This window comes from Homo sapiens, chromosome 2, assembly GCF_000001405.40.
Source record: "Homo sapiens chromosome 2, GRCh38.p14 Primary Assembly".
Classification (NCBI taxonomy): domain Eukaryota; kingdom Metazoa; phylum Chordata; class Mammalia; order Primates; family Hominidae; genus Homo; species Homo sapiens.
This window is the reverse complement of record NC_000002.12, coordinates 45,377,911-45,393,354: the sequence shown is the minus strand read 5'-3', so window position 1 is coordinate 45,393,354 and position 15,444 is coordinate 45,377,911. Positions and strand designations below refer to the sequence as shown.

General features: G+C 38.7%; 1 protein-coding gene across 4 annotated transcripts in view; it reads left to right on the top strand.

The window, feature by feature from the left end:
* Window positions 1–4,675, top strand: part of SRBD1 (S1 RNA binding domain 1) — a 222,588-nt gene extending 217,913 nt beyond the window's left edge. For all 4 annotated transcript variants that reach the window (NM_018079.5, XM_011532946.3, XM_047444862.1 and 1 more), the window contains 2 exons: window positions 226–410; window positions 3,756–4,675. In NM_018079.5, coding sequence (NP_060549.4) covers window positions 226–410; window positions 3,756–4,045 — 475 coding nt within the window. In that variant the 3' untranslated portion in view covers window positions 4,046–4,675. The remainder of the gene's footprint in view (window positions 1–225; window positions 411–3,755) is intronic.
* The last annotated feature ends 10,769 nt before the right edge of the window (window positions 4,676–15,444 follow it).

Below are 15,444 nucleotides of genomic sequence, written 5' to 3'. Positions count from 1 at the left end.
TCATTTGATAAATAGCACAAAAATCTTTAATCCACTTTCTCCCTCTCCCTCAGCCTTTTCTTTTTCAGGACAGTTTACAGCACAGGACACATAATAGATTCTCAATAAAGACTGATTGATTGACCTATGGGTCTAAGATGAATGAATTTTAGGGTGATCTGTATAAGGAGATTGCAAAAGGAGTAATATTGTTAAGTGTTGCGCTTTTTATTTTTTCCACTGCAGGTTTTTGTCATCCATTGGAGGGACACTGTATGAGGTTGGAAAGCCTGAAATGCAACAAAAAATAAATTCATTCCTTGAAAAGGAAGGAATGGAGAAAATTGCAGAAAGATTGCAAACAACAGTACACACCTTACAGGTCATCATAGATGGTCTCAGCCAGCCTGAAAGCTTTGACTTTCGAACAGGTAAACAGTTGAACTTGAATTATAGCACCTTGCATTTGCATAGCTCCCATTATCTCCTTTGATCCTCACAGCAATCCTATGCCATAAGCAGAATGGATATTATTCTCCCATTTTATACATGAGAAAAATAAAGCATGGTGATCTTCCTTCAAAGTCATTATAATTAATATCCAGAGCCAAAGCTAGAAGCCAGGTGGTCTCCCTGGACCCCTTGTTCACTGTGTATTTCCCATTTACTAAACGAAATGCATCATGCATGTACTGCTGTATGCATGGAGACACACATTTTTTTATGGTCCTTTTGTAAGTTGTCTTTATCTCTTGGGAGCCAGAAGTGCAAGGTAAAGCAGTCCCTTCACAAGCTAAAAGGTGAATCTTCTTCCTAAATTATAGCTTTCCAAGTTCTTGGATTCTGTGTCAATGAACCCATTGAACAAATAAGATAATATCTCTGTTGATTTTCCTTCTAATTAAAAGTGCTCTCAGCTTTCAGCACAGGTAGATGGTGAGGGAATTATACTTCCATGTAACAACCATAGTTGTTGAGAGCAGTGACCCAGTGAAAAAGAATTACAGTATCAAATGACCTACTTCCCAAGGAAGTTTGAATAGGAACCCCTGAGATTTAAATGAATCCGCTCACTGGTCTTATAACCAGTTTTGATGATTCCGTGTTTAGGGCTTGGCTCTTTTTATTCTGGTTTAGGCTGCATTGAGATGGTTAGACATACTTCTTTGAAAAGGTTTAAAGGAGTTTTGAAATACATCCAGCAAGTTCATTGTACTATTCCTTCTTCTGTAGGGTTGTTTTGTTTTTTTTTAAGTTAAAGAAAAATAAAATGACACCCAGTAAGAACTATGCCAAAAATGTGGGAGTAGAAGCCTCCTAGTAGTCCTCCACACAATGTGGATGTTTCAGCAGACAAATCCATCTCCATTTGGAGGCCCAGTATCCTTTTATGGGAATTTCTGGGCTGGTTTTTAGCAGGAGTACTAGGTGGAGCAGTGGTTCTCAAAAATACTGGATTTGGAGGTGGTATGGCTGCACCCTTTGCATTAGAGGGTTGGCAAAAAATGCTGTAACTGCAGGTATCCTGTACTGGATTTTTCACATCCATCTTCATTTTTCTGTCATAGTGTCGATTGTTCCATTATCCCAGTTGCATTGTAGACTCAGAGCAAAGATCAACACTCAAATTATATGGTCCAATTAAACTACCAAGTTGTTGAGCAAAAAGACAGATGCATCTGGGCTCTGGACTGAGCTTTCCACTTACTGCAGTGTTCTATCAGTGTGGCAAGTGAAGTTTTAAATAGGTCTCTTTAAAAAAACTTTGGAACTGACCTTTGCTCTAATGTAAGTCACAATTTTCAAAATGTCTGAGAACTTTCATCTTACTACTAAACACATACCCAAGGTGAGGAAGGCTTACAAACTATACTTTCGAGGGGGCAGATAGTATTTTGGGCATTTCCACGTGATGATATTTTATGTTACATCTCTTTTCTCCATTTTCTCAAAAGTATTTCCTTTCTTAATGCCTCATTCTTTACTCATAATAATTCTGTCTTTTGTTTTGTCAATGGTGTAATTAATTTCATGTGTATTAACACTATGGTGACTAGTTAATTTCCCTAACTGGGTTTATTAGAAGCAGTCCAGACACAGGGGCTGAAAATGCTTGGCTATGAAAGTGTTAAAGTTTGCATGGTACACAGAGGATTTTCTGATTTCTCAGTGTCCCCAACTGTCTTCAGGAATATGTTAAGTAGTTCCTGACTCTGATTTTCCTTGCAAGATTAAACTAAACAGCTGATCAGGAACCCTTAGGGAATCTGCAGCAGCTGGACCTCCCCAAGAAAAGAGAGAGAGAGAAAGAATTTCCAAGCATAAAAACAATGCCTATGGGGTCTCGGAGACCCGTCCTACCTCTGCCCCTGATCAGTGACTTAGTTCCACTTTGCTTTGACACAGCCTTAGCCTGGTGTAATATTACATTACAGTAGGTTTCTTGCTTTTGGAATTCACTGCTTTAGCATCAGGTAAAATTCCACAGAATCAATTCCAATTTTAGCGTACTCATTTTTATGTGTACAGTGAGATTTGGAGTTTAAAGAAGGTTTTTATTTTGTTTTATAAGAAAAAGCTTAATTTTTAAAACGTCTTGGTATCAGTATGGTTGGACTGGGGGAAGGGAAGAAAGGGGTGACCAGTTGTTAATACAAATGTAAAGGATAGCTTTAACAAGTCATCAGGATAAAGCCAACAGCTGTGGAGGAAAAGGAAATGGAATGGGTGGAGGGGAAAATGAGGCCTTAGTAAAAGGAGATCCAAGCATAGAATGTGTTCTTTGTTATTAGAGTCAACACTCAGTAATCCTAGGAAAGGGGGCCTTCAGGAGGAGCATGGATAAATGGAGTCCACAGATAATCCACAGCCCCGTTTAAACTGTTAGTTCTAACTCTAACTGTCTCCCTCATAAAAACCTTTGTTTTTAACTAGAACCATAATGATTCCTTGGCATGCTTTATGCCTACCTTTTGGACAATAATGAACAAAGAAATGTATGCTGGGGTGAGCAAGAAAAAAGGGCTATAAAGAACTTGGAAACAGAAATCTGTATCTTCATCATTGTTTCTCTAGCACCCAGCAGAGTGCCTGGCCAGGAGATAATAGAGTTAACAAATGTTTGATGAATTTAATTGAAAGAAGAGAAAGAATATTAGATACTACCTGGTCTGGGATTCTGAGCCATAGATAATCAAGAATCCATAAATGTTGATTGGATAAATATATATGAAATAGGTGGGAATTGATTTTCTGAGTTCCAAATTTGTGGGAAGAAGTGAGGAAGAAAGAACATTTGAATTTCATCCACATTTGGCCAAAAGTTGATGTACTTTCTACCATCTTTAAACAATTTAATAATCCAGGCACTGGGGGAAAAACCAAAAAAAAAGCTTCCAGTCTCTTGTTTCCAAAGGTCTTACTTTCTCAGTGTTTGTGGTTTAGCTTTGTATATTTGTTAAGCAAATATATATTCTCATCACCTCTTCACAAAGAGGAAAATAAGACTGTCTTCTCGATCCTTATGTATAATGCTAGTGTGTAGCATTGTAGAAGGAAGTAAATTTTCTTGAATTGTTTCTACTGCATGAATGCTGTCTCCAACTGATATGCATGTTCTCTGAAGGCAAGCGTTGGTCTGCAGCTCCTTTTATAATCCCCCCTTAATCTTTAATATTGGTCTGGGCACATAGTATGTAGTAAGTACTTATTCACAAAGTTATGTTGTATCTAGGAAGTACAATGCCTTATTTACACTTACTTTTTTTCTCTTACAGATTTTGATAAACCTGATTTCAAGAGAAGCATAGTATGCCTGGAAGATCTGCAGATTGGGACAGTTCTTACAGGCAAAGTTGAGAATGCCACTCTCTTTGGAATTTTTGTGGATATAGGAGTGGGGAAATCTGGGCTGATTCCCATACGAAATGTAACAGAAGCAAAACTTTCAAAAACAAAGAAGAGAAGAAGCCTTGGACTGGGCCCCGGAGAAAGAGTGGAAGTCCAAGTACTCAACATTGACATCCCCCGATCTAGGATTACTCTGGACCTCATTCGGGTGTTATGAGTATCCCACGAAGGCCAGACGCTGATTTTATTTTCTCATTTCCACAGATTGACAAGGATAAGTCAGTTGTTTGTAAACTCTAGGTAGCAGATGAGAAATAATTCACTTAATATCAGAAATATTTTCCAAACACTTTCCTTTATTTTTTCTTCTGAATAAATAGAAAACCAACAGTTTGATTTCCTTTTCCCTTAAAGGAAACAACTAATACACATTCTTATATGGCTTTATGTAGTAATAGTTTTCTGACTAAAATTTTGTTTTTTATTTTTTGTAATTTATCTTTAACTCCTTTTGCATTTTGTATAACAGATTGCTTAACTTCTACTTGCCAACATCTGCCTTGCTGGACTTGTATGGGATTGTCTTCTTGATTTGAATTGTACCGTCTTTGTTGACACAGTAGGGCTGGGCAGTGTTTAATCCTTCCATTTTATAGATTTTTTTTTAATCAGGCCTTTTGGACTTCATTCATAATTTTGCAATAATCTCTTTTCCCTTGTCATGCAAGCCAAAAATATACCAGTAAAACAGATTCTGACGTGTTTGTAGTTATCAAATGAATGGCTCGAAACACTTCTCAAAAGGATATACGTATTGACCCCAACAATAAATGTTTGTGGCTAGTGACTTGTTTTTTGCTATGTTGATTCAGTGAATGACCTAGAAGTCAGTCTTGATGAAAAAAGATATGGTTTATGCAACCTTTGGAGAAGAGGGAAGCCTTTGAAAATTTGAAGAATGGTTTTGTTTGATTTAGCATAGAAGAGTGTGTCCTTTCTTAAATCAGAATTAAACTTCAAATGGGGATAGAAATGGCCGTTTTAAAGATCAAATATAGATCAGGTGTGAAGGGACAAGAAAAACAAGTATATAAAGGAAGTGACTCTTATTCCATTTTTATTTAGTGGAGATGGTAAGGATTAGCATGACCATTCAGGATCAAAATAAAGCCCACAGTGGACTGGTATCCTGTTCATTCTGACTACTGCTGCTGCTGTTGATTTGCCTGATGAAGATATTTGTATGACTGAATGAGTGTCTGGTTTTCTCCATGCGTGATAAGTAGGGGATAGTTACTAAAGACGACCAGTCTTGTTCATTTGCCTAGGAAACACCCATTGTCCTGGCATAATTTTTAATATTGCCTCTTTTTATTCTCAGAGTGCCCCATTTTGGATGATAAATCATATGGTCAACTAGTAGTAGTCACTAAGTAGTGACTGTGACTATGTTTCGTGATAGTTCTACCTGGTGGTTTGCTGTTTTCAAAATACATATCCAACTGGTGTATGTAGATCTTTTTAATGCAGTAGGTTCCTTAAAAGTTGCATATATCAACTTTTTTGATATATACAACTATTTGCCTAGCAATTTCATTTCTGAAATGCTTTTCCTCTGTTTCTTAGTGGTCTTTAACTGATAGTGGATATATCTTAATGTTATAACTTTAAGTTGATCTTCCTACTCACTCCTCCCAATATTCTTCCAGGTTCATAATCTATAGATCAGTAATGAATGATGTGTACCTGAAGACTCTTACTCTGAAGCTCGAGATACAAGTTCACACGAATTCTGTGGGGGAAGAGGCCTTCTCCCTGGTCACTTCGGATATAGGAACAAGAAAAGTTGACAGTGTAAAGCTGCTCTGTTGACCTGGCAGCTAAGCTTTCATGGACACAATAAGGACTTGACATTGCACTAGATTGCATAGTTTGTCCCATCCAGCCCAAACATGGTGGAGGCTGGTATAAGGCCTAAGCTATAAAATGAGGAGCCACATCTCATTTATAACTGCAAAGTGTGCATGGTGATGCATTATATTCTATTCCTAGTCCCTATTCTACTAGTAATCCACAGTGTGCCTTTGAGCTGGTATCTTTACTTCTGCAGACCTCCTTTTCCCAAACTTAAAATGGCATATGAGAAAGCATTTATTCCCATATACATTTACTGGTGGCCTCCTTGTGTGCCAGGCATTGTGCTAGTCACTGACCAGAAATTGTGATAGGAAAAATAGGTAGGGGTAGGGAGCATGAAAAGAAGAGAAAAAGAAAAAAATAGTCATTATCCTTGTCCTTATGGAGCTTAGAGTCTATTGAGAAAGAAAGTATAATTAAATAATCATATAAAAATGTAAAATTACAATCAGATAAGTGATATAATGGAGACAGCATCTAATTAATGGGTTGACTTAGAAAAGTCAGAGTAATTCAGTGGGATTTGAGATGTGAAAGATGACCAAAACTAGGACAAATTTTACTGACCTTTAATAATAACTCTTCCCAGTAAATTGAATGAGCTGTATTGGAGTGGGCTTAAGAGAGTAGGAGGAGTTAGATTGCAGACAGTGAATTTAGACAGTTCTTTTAGGGAGTTTAGCTGTAAAGGAAGAAGAGAAATAGCATAGTGGTTGGAAGGGGGAAATGGAGTCAAAATTTAAGACAAAAGAAATGTATACAAATGGAAATGATCCAGTAAAATAGGAAAATATGATACAGGAGACAGAGGGGAGAATTACTGGAAAGATATCCTTGACTAAATGAGATCAGATGGAATCTAGTGCACAAGGGGTTGGTCTAACATAGGAATACAAAGAGTATATTCATATTAGTGGGAGAAAGGACTAAGTATATGAGCACAGATGTAGGTAGGCAAATGTAGGAGCTCATGGAAAGTCTCTGAATTTCTTCTAGTTTTCTCATTGAATTATGAAGGAATACCATCATATGAGACTGAACATTGAAGAGAAAGGGAATTGGAGGTTTGAAGAGAAAGTGTGAGGAACGGATGAGAATGAGAGTGAAAAGCCTAGGGAAACAGCGTGACTTCTAGGCAGTGTTAAATGTTTCACTTGAGGTTATTGATCTTTAATTGAATCTAGGATCAGTTAACTTATTTTTTTCTCCAGCCCATCAGCTGTGTGGATGCAGGCCCAGATTAGGTGGAGAGGTGATTTAATCAGGTTTGGGGGTTTGCCAAACAAATATGATAAAGAGGACAAAGAAGTTGAGGGCACGTGGACAAAGAAACTATTGACCATGGAATTTAAGCTTAAGAAGAAAAATGAGAGTATAAGGGGACAGTGAGGAGCAGTGGGAAAGTATGGGATTAAAGGATTGTAGACCCTGATGAAGTTGGAGGGATGTTGGAGTGGGAATAATAAAGGAAATACTGGGTTTAGGTAAGAATACTTGTCAAAAGTGGAGTGCATAACCTTGAGATTACAGAGGAGTTGCAGTTTTTGGTACTGACAGCATAGGGAATGATAGTGGGATAAGTAGCAGAAGTAAAGGATAAGGTAAGATCAATTAAAGAAAAGAAATTCTGGTCTGTCAAGAACAGAATTTGAGCAGGTGTGCTGGCTCATGCCTATAATCCCAGGACTTTGGGAGGCCAAGGTAGGAGGATCTCTTGAGCCCAGGGGTTCACGACCAGCCTAGGCAATATAGGGAGACCCCATCTGTATAAAAATTAGATTATCCAGGCATGGTGCCACACACCTGTGTCCCAGCTATGCAGGAGGTTGAGGCTGCAGTGAGCTGTGATTGTGCCACTGCACTCCAGCCTGGGTGACAGGGCGAGACCCTCTCTCAAAGAAAAGAGCTGAGAACTCAGAAAGGATTATCTATGTGAAGAATGATTTTAGGAGGCTGTCTCAGTAATGCAGGCTAAAATAACGGTGGCTTGGATCAGAGTGTTAGTGGTAAAAATGATGAGAAGTGGTGGGATTCTGGATGTAGTTAGGTGGAGGTAGAGCCAAACAGGATTTCCTGGCATAAGATGTGAGACAGACAGTCTAGGATGGCTCCAAGGTTTTTGGCCTAAGCAATCAGGAGTATAGAATTATCTACTGAAATGAGAAGACTAGTGGGGGAACAGTTTTGGTAAAGGAATTCATTTTAGACAGGTTAAATTTGAGATACTCATTAGACATCCAAGTGCTGATGTCAAGTTAGGCAGTTGGCTGTGTGAGTTTGAAGTTCAGGGGAGTGGGCTGGACTGGAAATGTGAATTTGATAGTTACTAGCATAACTGCTTAGAGCCGTAAGACTGAATGAGACCACCAATGGGATAAGTGGAGATAAAGCAGAGAAGGGGTCCAAGGGCTGAGTTGTTGAAATCCAAGACCATCAGCTATAAAATTTTTGAACTTCATAAGAGCAAGAATTTTTTCTCATGGCACGGCCTGCTAGATGCTTGTTCAGATTTCTCCCCTTCTTTCTAAGAAGATCCTGCCTGGAGAGGAGCAACGACGTGGCTAATGGATGTGAACATGACCAATTACGTGTAGGCAAAAGTCATAGGATGGAATTCTAGGAAAGTTAGAAAGTGTGGGGAGCACAGGCAGCTCAGCTATCATGCTTTTCTTAACCTTTGTCCTTGCCCTCCTTCCTGCTTGGAATGCAGATAGAATGCTGAAGGTGCTGGAGATTACATCAGAAAGACTGAAAATTTCCAAATTTATCTTGACATTATGGAGTAACCAAAATAGCCCCAAACTGCCTGCATTGGACTTCATATTTTGTTAGAAAAAAACAAAACTCCTCATTCATTTAAGCTGAGGGGAGCGGGGTGGGGGCTTACAGCAAAGTGTATTCCTTAATATACATTTATGTTGTTCCCTACTTTATCCCCTATATCTAGAAAAATGCCCAGCATGTGACAATTACTCAATAAATATTGATTGGGTGAATAAATGAACATCTAAGAATTCCACAAAATGGTTCAATGTAAAATAAACATCTAAAAAATCATGTTAAAACAATATGATGGAGTAAAGATCCCTATTCATTACAACACACTATAAAATATTTAGACTTGGTCGGGCATGGTGGCTTACACCTGAAATCTCAGCACTTTGGGAGGCCAAGGCGGGTAGATCACGAGGTCAAGAGCTCAAGACCATCCTGGCCAACATGGTGAAACCCCTTCTTTACTAAAAATACAAAAATTAGCTGGGTGTGGTGGTGTATACCTGTAGCCCCAGCTACTTGGGAGGCTAGGCAGGAGAATCGCTTGAACCCAGGAGGCAGAGGTTGCAGTGAGCTGAGATCGTGCCACTGCACTCCAGTCTGGCGACAGAGCGAGACTTCTTCTCAAAAAAAAAAAAAAACATTAAACTCTAACAAGCAATATAAAAGATGAATATGAAGAAAAATTATAAAGCATTACTAATGAATATTTAAAAAGCAGAAAATATTAAGGTATACCATTTTCCTAAATTGTAAGGCTATAATTAGTACTCTAGAAAAACCAGTCCTCCAAAAATGATCTTTTTTGCCACAATTTTAATCATCATTCCAATAGGCTTTGCCAATGTTTATTTAAACTTAAAAATAAAACTTATTTGGAAAAGTATGTGAGAAAAATCAAGTCAATACTTCAAAAGAATAATTCAGGTCAGGTGTGGTGGCTGATACCTGTAATTCCAGCATTTTGGGAGGCTGAGAGACAGGCAGATTGCTTGAGCTCAGGAGTTCGAGACCAGCCTGGGCAACAGCAAGACCCTGTCTCTATTAAAAAAAAAAGAATAATTGAGTTGTATGTATGGTTTGGGAGACTTTGCCCTGCTATTAAAGTATACTCTAAAGCTGCCATCATTTAAATAGTATGTTACTAACACAGGAAAAGAAGAGTGGAATAAAACAATTCATAGACCAGCTTATCGAAGTGAGGGGAAAAAAAAATTCAGAATCAATGGGAATATAATGTAAAGAAATGGCACTTCAGATTGGGGCAAAATTATATTGCCACACTACAAACAAAAATACATTCCCGATGGATTATACATAAATTGTTTTTAATTACGAGCAAACTAGAAGGGCTTTGAGAAGTGATTGAGTAGCCACAGTTGTGGAATGTGAGGAAAGATAGGGGAAACACAGACCTATAGACCTAAGAGTTTCATTCAGAAGACATTTCCTGAATACCCGTGAGACCCTGTGCCAGGTTCTAGGGATAAAAAAGAGCACATCTTGTGAGGATGTTTTCAGCCTGAAGGAGTTGGAATTTAAGCTACAGTAAGGGGTGTTTTAAGTTCAATATCATGAGAATTTTGGAATTCAGCTGGCTGCTGTCTACTTGAGAATATGGTGGCATCCCATCTTATCTGAAACCACAGGACCTTTTGGAAAGCTTAGCTTTGGATTAATGGAGTGCTTATGTTGGGGTGTCTGTATATCTAACCCCAACCTCAGAGTTAGCACTTGTGTTAAAATTGGAGATGGCGAGAAGGGACAGGATGGAAAAACCAAAAATATATTTATTCCATCTTTTCATTTTGGTTTCCTGCCTCAAATCAGTCATAATGAGTTGGATTTAAATAACAGATCTTGGAGAACTCCTGAATGACTGGGCTCATTGCCAAAGCAGTGTGTTCCACAGGAAGAAAGATTAGGTTTCTTCTCACTCATTTTATATGGTGAGGATGATTCTGTGCATGAAGGTTGCATTTCTTATTTAGGGAGAGAGTGGGATAAGCAGACTCTGGTCCTTTCAGCACTAAACATTACCTTTTCAGAAATTAATTTAAAAACCACCCCCAGAAAGATTTGTTGTTCTCTTGCCTCATATCAAGAATCTAAGGATTATATAGCCACACCTTAAATATTTTAAAGAAGAAACTCTCATCCTGAAGAAAGGAAGTAAATTATTACTCTAAATGCTTCAGGGAAACTTCTGAGATAGAGAGTTTATCCTAACTGTATGGCCCATCTAATATGGCGGCCTGAAATGTTATGTAGCCCAATCGTACCAGAAAAATCTAAAGTTAAAGATACAATGGTGAAGGGAGACATGGGGTAACAGAGGGAGGAAGGGGGAGAGACCAACTTAATAGCTTCACGTTGGTGGGGTACGAAGTTTTAAGAGTTGAGTTTTATCCATGCAATTAGATCAAATATAACTCTCTAGATTTATTGCAGTATTTTGCAAAAGCAATCAAGTAAGACGAATGAAAGTGTGCTACTGAAAGCTTTTCACTTCTTGCAAAACTTTCCACCTTCTTATAGCCAGGCCCACAATAACTAGGGGAATTTCCCCCAAGGGAGCACGCTTTTGGATGTCTCTCTCCAGTCCTAACGATTGGTTCTTTGATCATTTGACATTTGCCCACCTGCTTCCCAGGTTTAAGTCTCTTAGCAATGAAAAGAGAAGGCAACACCAGTGAAAGTCAAAACTAAGATATACTCACATTCTTTGTTTCACAGGGTTAAGGTGATTTTATGAAGCTAAAACTCAAGATGCCCAGTTTAGTCAAATCTGATGTAATTTGCTACTTTAGTTACCAAAATAATTGAATTTCCAACGAAGCACACTGTCATTTGACCTGTATTATCACCCACAAGAAACAGCAAGTTATTTTGGACTATTTGTTATAACTGTATTTTTATGATTTTTCCTGATTGAAAAAGTAATATGTGTAGTCTAAAAGGCAGGAATAATGAAATACGAAAGTTGGAAAATAAAAATCTCCTCTGCTAAGTAGCCACCTTCTAGAGTTTTCGTACATCCCTGTCCCTTTTTCTATGCATATGTTCCTTCGTAAAGATTTTTAACAAACTGGCATCATATGTACACTGTTCTCTTTCTCTTTGTAATTGGGCATGTATGTGTTCCCATGTCAGTACCTACATATCTACCTTAATATGTTTCATTGTGTGTGTGTAAACAATTGCAAACAGTGCTGCGGTGAGCACCATCGTACATTGTCCTGGTGGTACCGCTCTGTCAAAGAATATGCACATTTAAAGGTCAGTGGCTATTGTGAACCCCCTACCACCACCACCAACACAGTAAGGTTAAATATTTTTTCATGACTTTTTGTTTCAATTGTATGAGCACATATATGTGTATTGGTACTGGGTTAAAATGTAAAATATAGTCTTTATTGTGGATTGAGGTTTTAAAAAATGAAAGTCAAAACTGGGAGACACTTTTCTCTATGGTAAGAACTCTTGCTGTTCCCCTGCTCAGCATGGTACCTCACACTACAGAGCCTTTGTAGATGTCATTCCTTTTGCCTGAAACGGCCTCCCCTCTCTCTCACTTCCACCCGTTTATCAGGTCCCAGTATTGGATCTTACCTCAGAGGGCATTTTCTCCCAGACTAAATCAAGTTCACTATTACAGGCTCTCCTTATACTACATGACTTTCCTTCATTTCCTGCACATATACATTTCTGTACATGGTAACAGCATGTAATTAACGTCTTCCTCTGAGGACTCTCTGAGGACAGCAACCTTTAATATCTGCCACTATTTGTGATAATCAGGAAACTCACCACCCCCTTTTTATTAATTCCTTCTCTGATTTTGCCCCTATCTTCATCAGACCTGCGTCTTCCATCTTTTCCTTTGATTCCTCTAGATATAGTGTTTGGCCTTGAGCTCTGTCTTAGCTCTTAGCTCATTTTTTTGAGAAAACAGAGCATGAAAAAGGCATATGTACTCATACTTTATTGGGGGTTATAATCCCAGAGCAGGAAGAAGAAGGGAAAAAAGGAAGTGAGCCAGGAAGCAGAGAAAGCAAATACAAAGTGCTGTGTTACTTAGCTAGTCATAGACTCATAAGAAAACATTGCCAGTTTCTTAGTCACCAGGTTGTCATGGAAGAAGCTCTGTGGTATGATGGTGGCACAGAACAGTGGAAGGGTGGAAGGAAGGTAGGGAAGAGAATTCATTGGCTGTCTCCCTCCTGACTCCTGTTTCTTTCTTACTAGTTAATGTTCACCTTACCAGGCATTGATTCCTCCATACTTCAAGGTTTTATTACTTGGCTTCTGTGGACAGCTGCTAAGGAAGTAGAACCAGTTGAGTCAGACCCTTGTGCTTGAGCTACTTTGGATCCCACAGCAGCAGGTGAGAAGGAGACCACACTGAAGTCTGGTCCTTACCACCCCCAGCTAAGGTGAGACAGCATGCACCGTGACTGTAGTAGCAAACAGGCTTCCCATGGAGCCACTGGCTGAGGACAGGGGTGGGAGGGATACAGGCAAGACCGAGTAAATAGTGGATTATGGGGCTTTGAGCGAGCTTCATAAACCAGTCCAGTACAGCTTCCAGAGCATTAGAATTGAGTCTTTCAAACTAACTTAGCTTACCTGAACTGCCCCCCACTCTTCCACCCCAATTGTTTTTTGCTCCTGTTCTCTACTTGTGGAACTCAACTCTAACCCGTGCAACCCAACCAGCTCCAAGGCAATCCAGTCCCAGAACCTTATCCCTGGCCTCACAATTTGTTGCAGCACCAGGTGACCAAGGCGCCAAAACTTCTCTTATTTCTTCATTGTTTACAAGGTTCCCTTGGATCATTTCCCTCCCACCTAGATCTCCAAGAGCACTGAGCAGCGGCTGCATATCCATTAAAGAAAGAAAATTAGAAATTCTGGGCAGTGGGGAGATCTCTCTGGCTCATGGAGAGTTTGGCTCTTGTGTGATTGATACTGGAAGCTGTTGGAGTTGAAAATGAATGAGTCAGGGGCCAAGAAAACTAAAACTGACAATTGGCCCTTAACCCATCACATCTTTCAAACAAGAAAACATACCCTCCATGCCCCTGTCCTCCTAAGATAAAAACATCAAAAACCCTAGGAGAGTATATGCAAAACTAGACTGTGTATGTCTAATTTGACAAAGGGTTATTTAAAAATAAATTGCTCAGGGCAAAGCACAGATCAAGAGAGTTCCTTTGGGCTTTGGCCAACTCTTCGCTAATACAGTTTGCTGGCCTGAGTGAATAGGGCCAGAACCAAAGAAAATAGTCTGCAATCAAAAATTTTGTGTCTAGAAACTTTCCCTTGCACAATCTTGCTCTTTTGCTAACAGTTTTATTGAGATATAATTCACATATCATACAATTCACATATTTAAAGGGTACCAATCAATGGTTTTGAATATATTCAAAGAGTTCTGCAACCATTACAATACATATTATCATTTTCATCACCCCATCAAGAGAACCTGTACCCCCATTAGCAGACAACTACTTTGTCTCTATGGATTGGCCTATTCTGGACATTTCATATAAATGCAGTCATACAGTACGTGGTCTTTTGCAACTGGCTTCTCTCACTTAGTGTAATGTTTTCAAGGTTCATTCCTGTTGTAGCATGTAGTAATAGTCTATTTCTTTTTATTGCTGAATAATATTCTCCTATATGAATATACAACATGTTACTTATCCATTCATGAGTTGATAGACATTGGGTTCTTTCCATGTTTTGGCTATTATGAATTATTCTGCCATGAACATTCAAACACAAGTTTTTGTGTAAACATATGTTTTCATTTCTCTTGGGTGTACATCTAGTAGTGAAATTACTGAGTCTTTAAATGGTAACTTTATGTTTAATCTTTTGAGTTCTTCAAAAGATTGCTTGCCAAAGTGGCTGTACCACTTTACATTCTCACCAGCAATGTATGAGGGTTACAATTTTTCTATATCCTCATCAACACTTGTTGTTGTTTGTATTTTTTATTGTAGCCATCCTTAGTGGGTGTGAAGTGGTTTCACACTGTGGTTTTAATTTGTATTTCCCTCATGAATAACAACATTGAGCATTTTTTCATATGCTTATTGGTCATTTGCATATCTTTGAAGAAATGTCTATTCAGACTCTGACCATATTTTTTTTTTTTTTTTTGAGATGGAGTCTTGCTCTGTCACCCAGGCTGGAGTGCAGTGGTGCGATCTCGGCTCACTGAAACACTTTGCCTCCTGGGTTCAAGTGATTCTTCTGCCTCAGCCTCACGAGTAGCTGGGACTATAGGCACAGGCCACCACACCTGGCCAATTTTTGTATTTTTAATAGAGATGGGGTTTCACCATATTGGCCAGGCAGGTCTCGAACTCCTAACCTCGTGATCCACCCGCCTTGGCCTCCCAAAGTGCTGGGATTACAGGAGTGAGCCACTGCGCCCAGCCTGACCATATTTTATATTAGGTTATTTTTACTACATTGTGGGAGTTCTTTATATATTCTAAATACAAGTTTCTTATCAGATAAATAAAAACTTTATCCCATTCTGTGAGTTTTCTTTTCACTTTCTTAATAGTGCCTTTTGAAGCACAAAATGTTTAATTGGTATGAGGGTCAATTTATTTTTTTCTTTTGGGCTTGAGCTTTTGGTATCATTTAATAAACATGCCTAATCCAAGGTCAGGATAATTATGCCTCTGTTTTCTTGTGTTTAATAGTTTTAGCTCTTAAATTTAGGTATCTGATCCACTTTGAATTAATTTGCATGTGGAATGAGGTAGAGGTCCACACTGATTCTTTTGCCTATGCATATCCAGTTGTCCCTACATTCTTTGTTGAAAAGACAATTCTTTCCCCAATTATTAGGTTGCTGCAAAAGTAATTGTGTTTTTTGCCATTTAATGGCATTTATAAAAA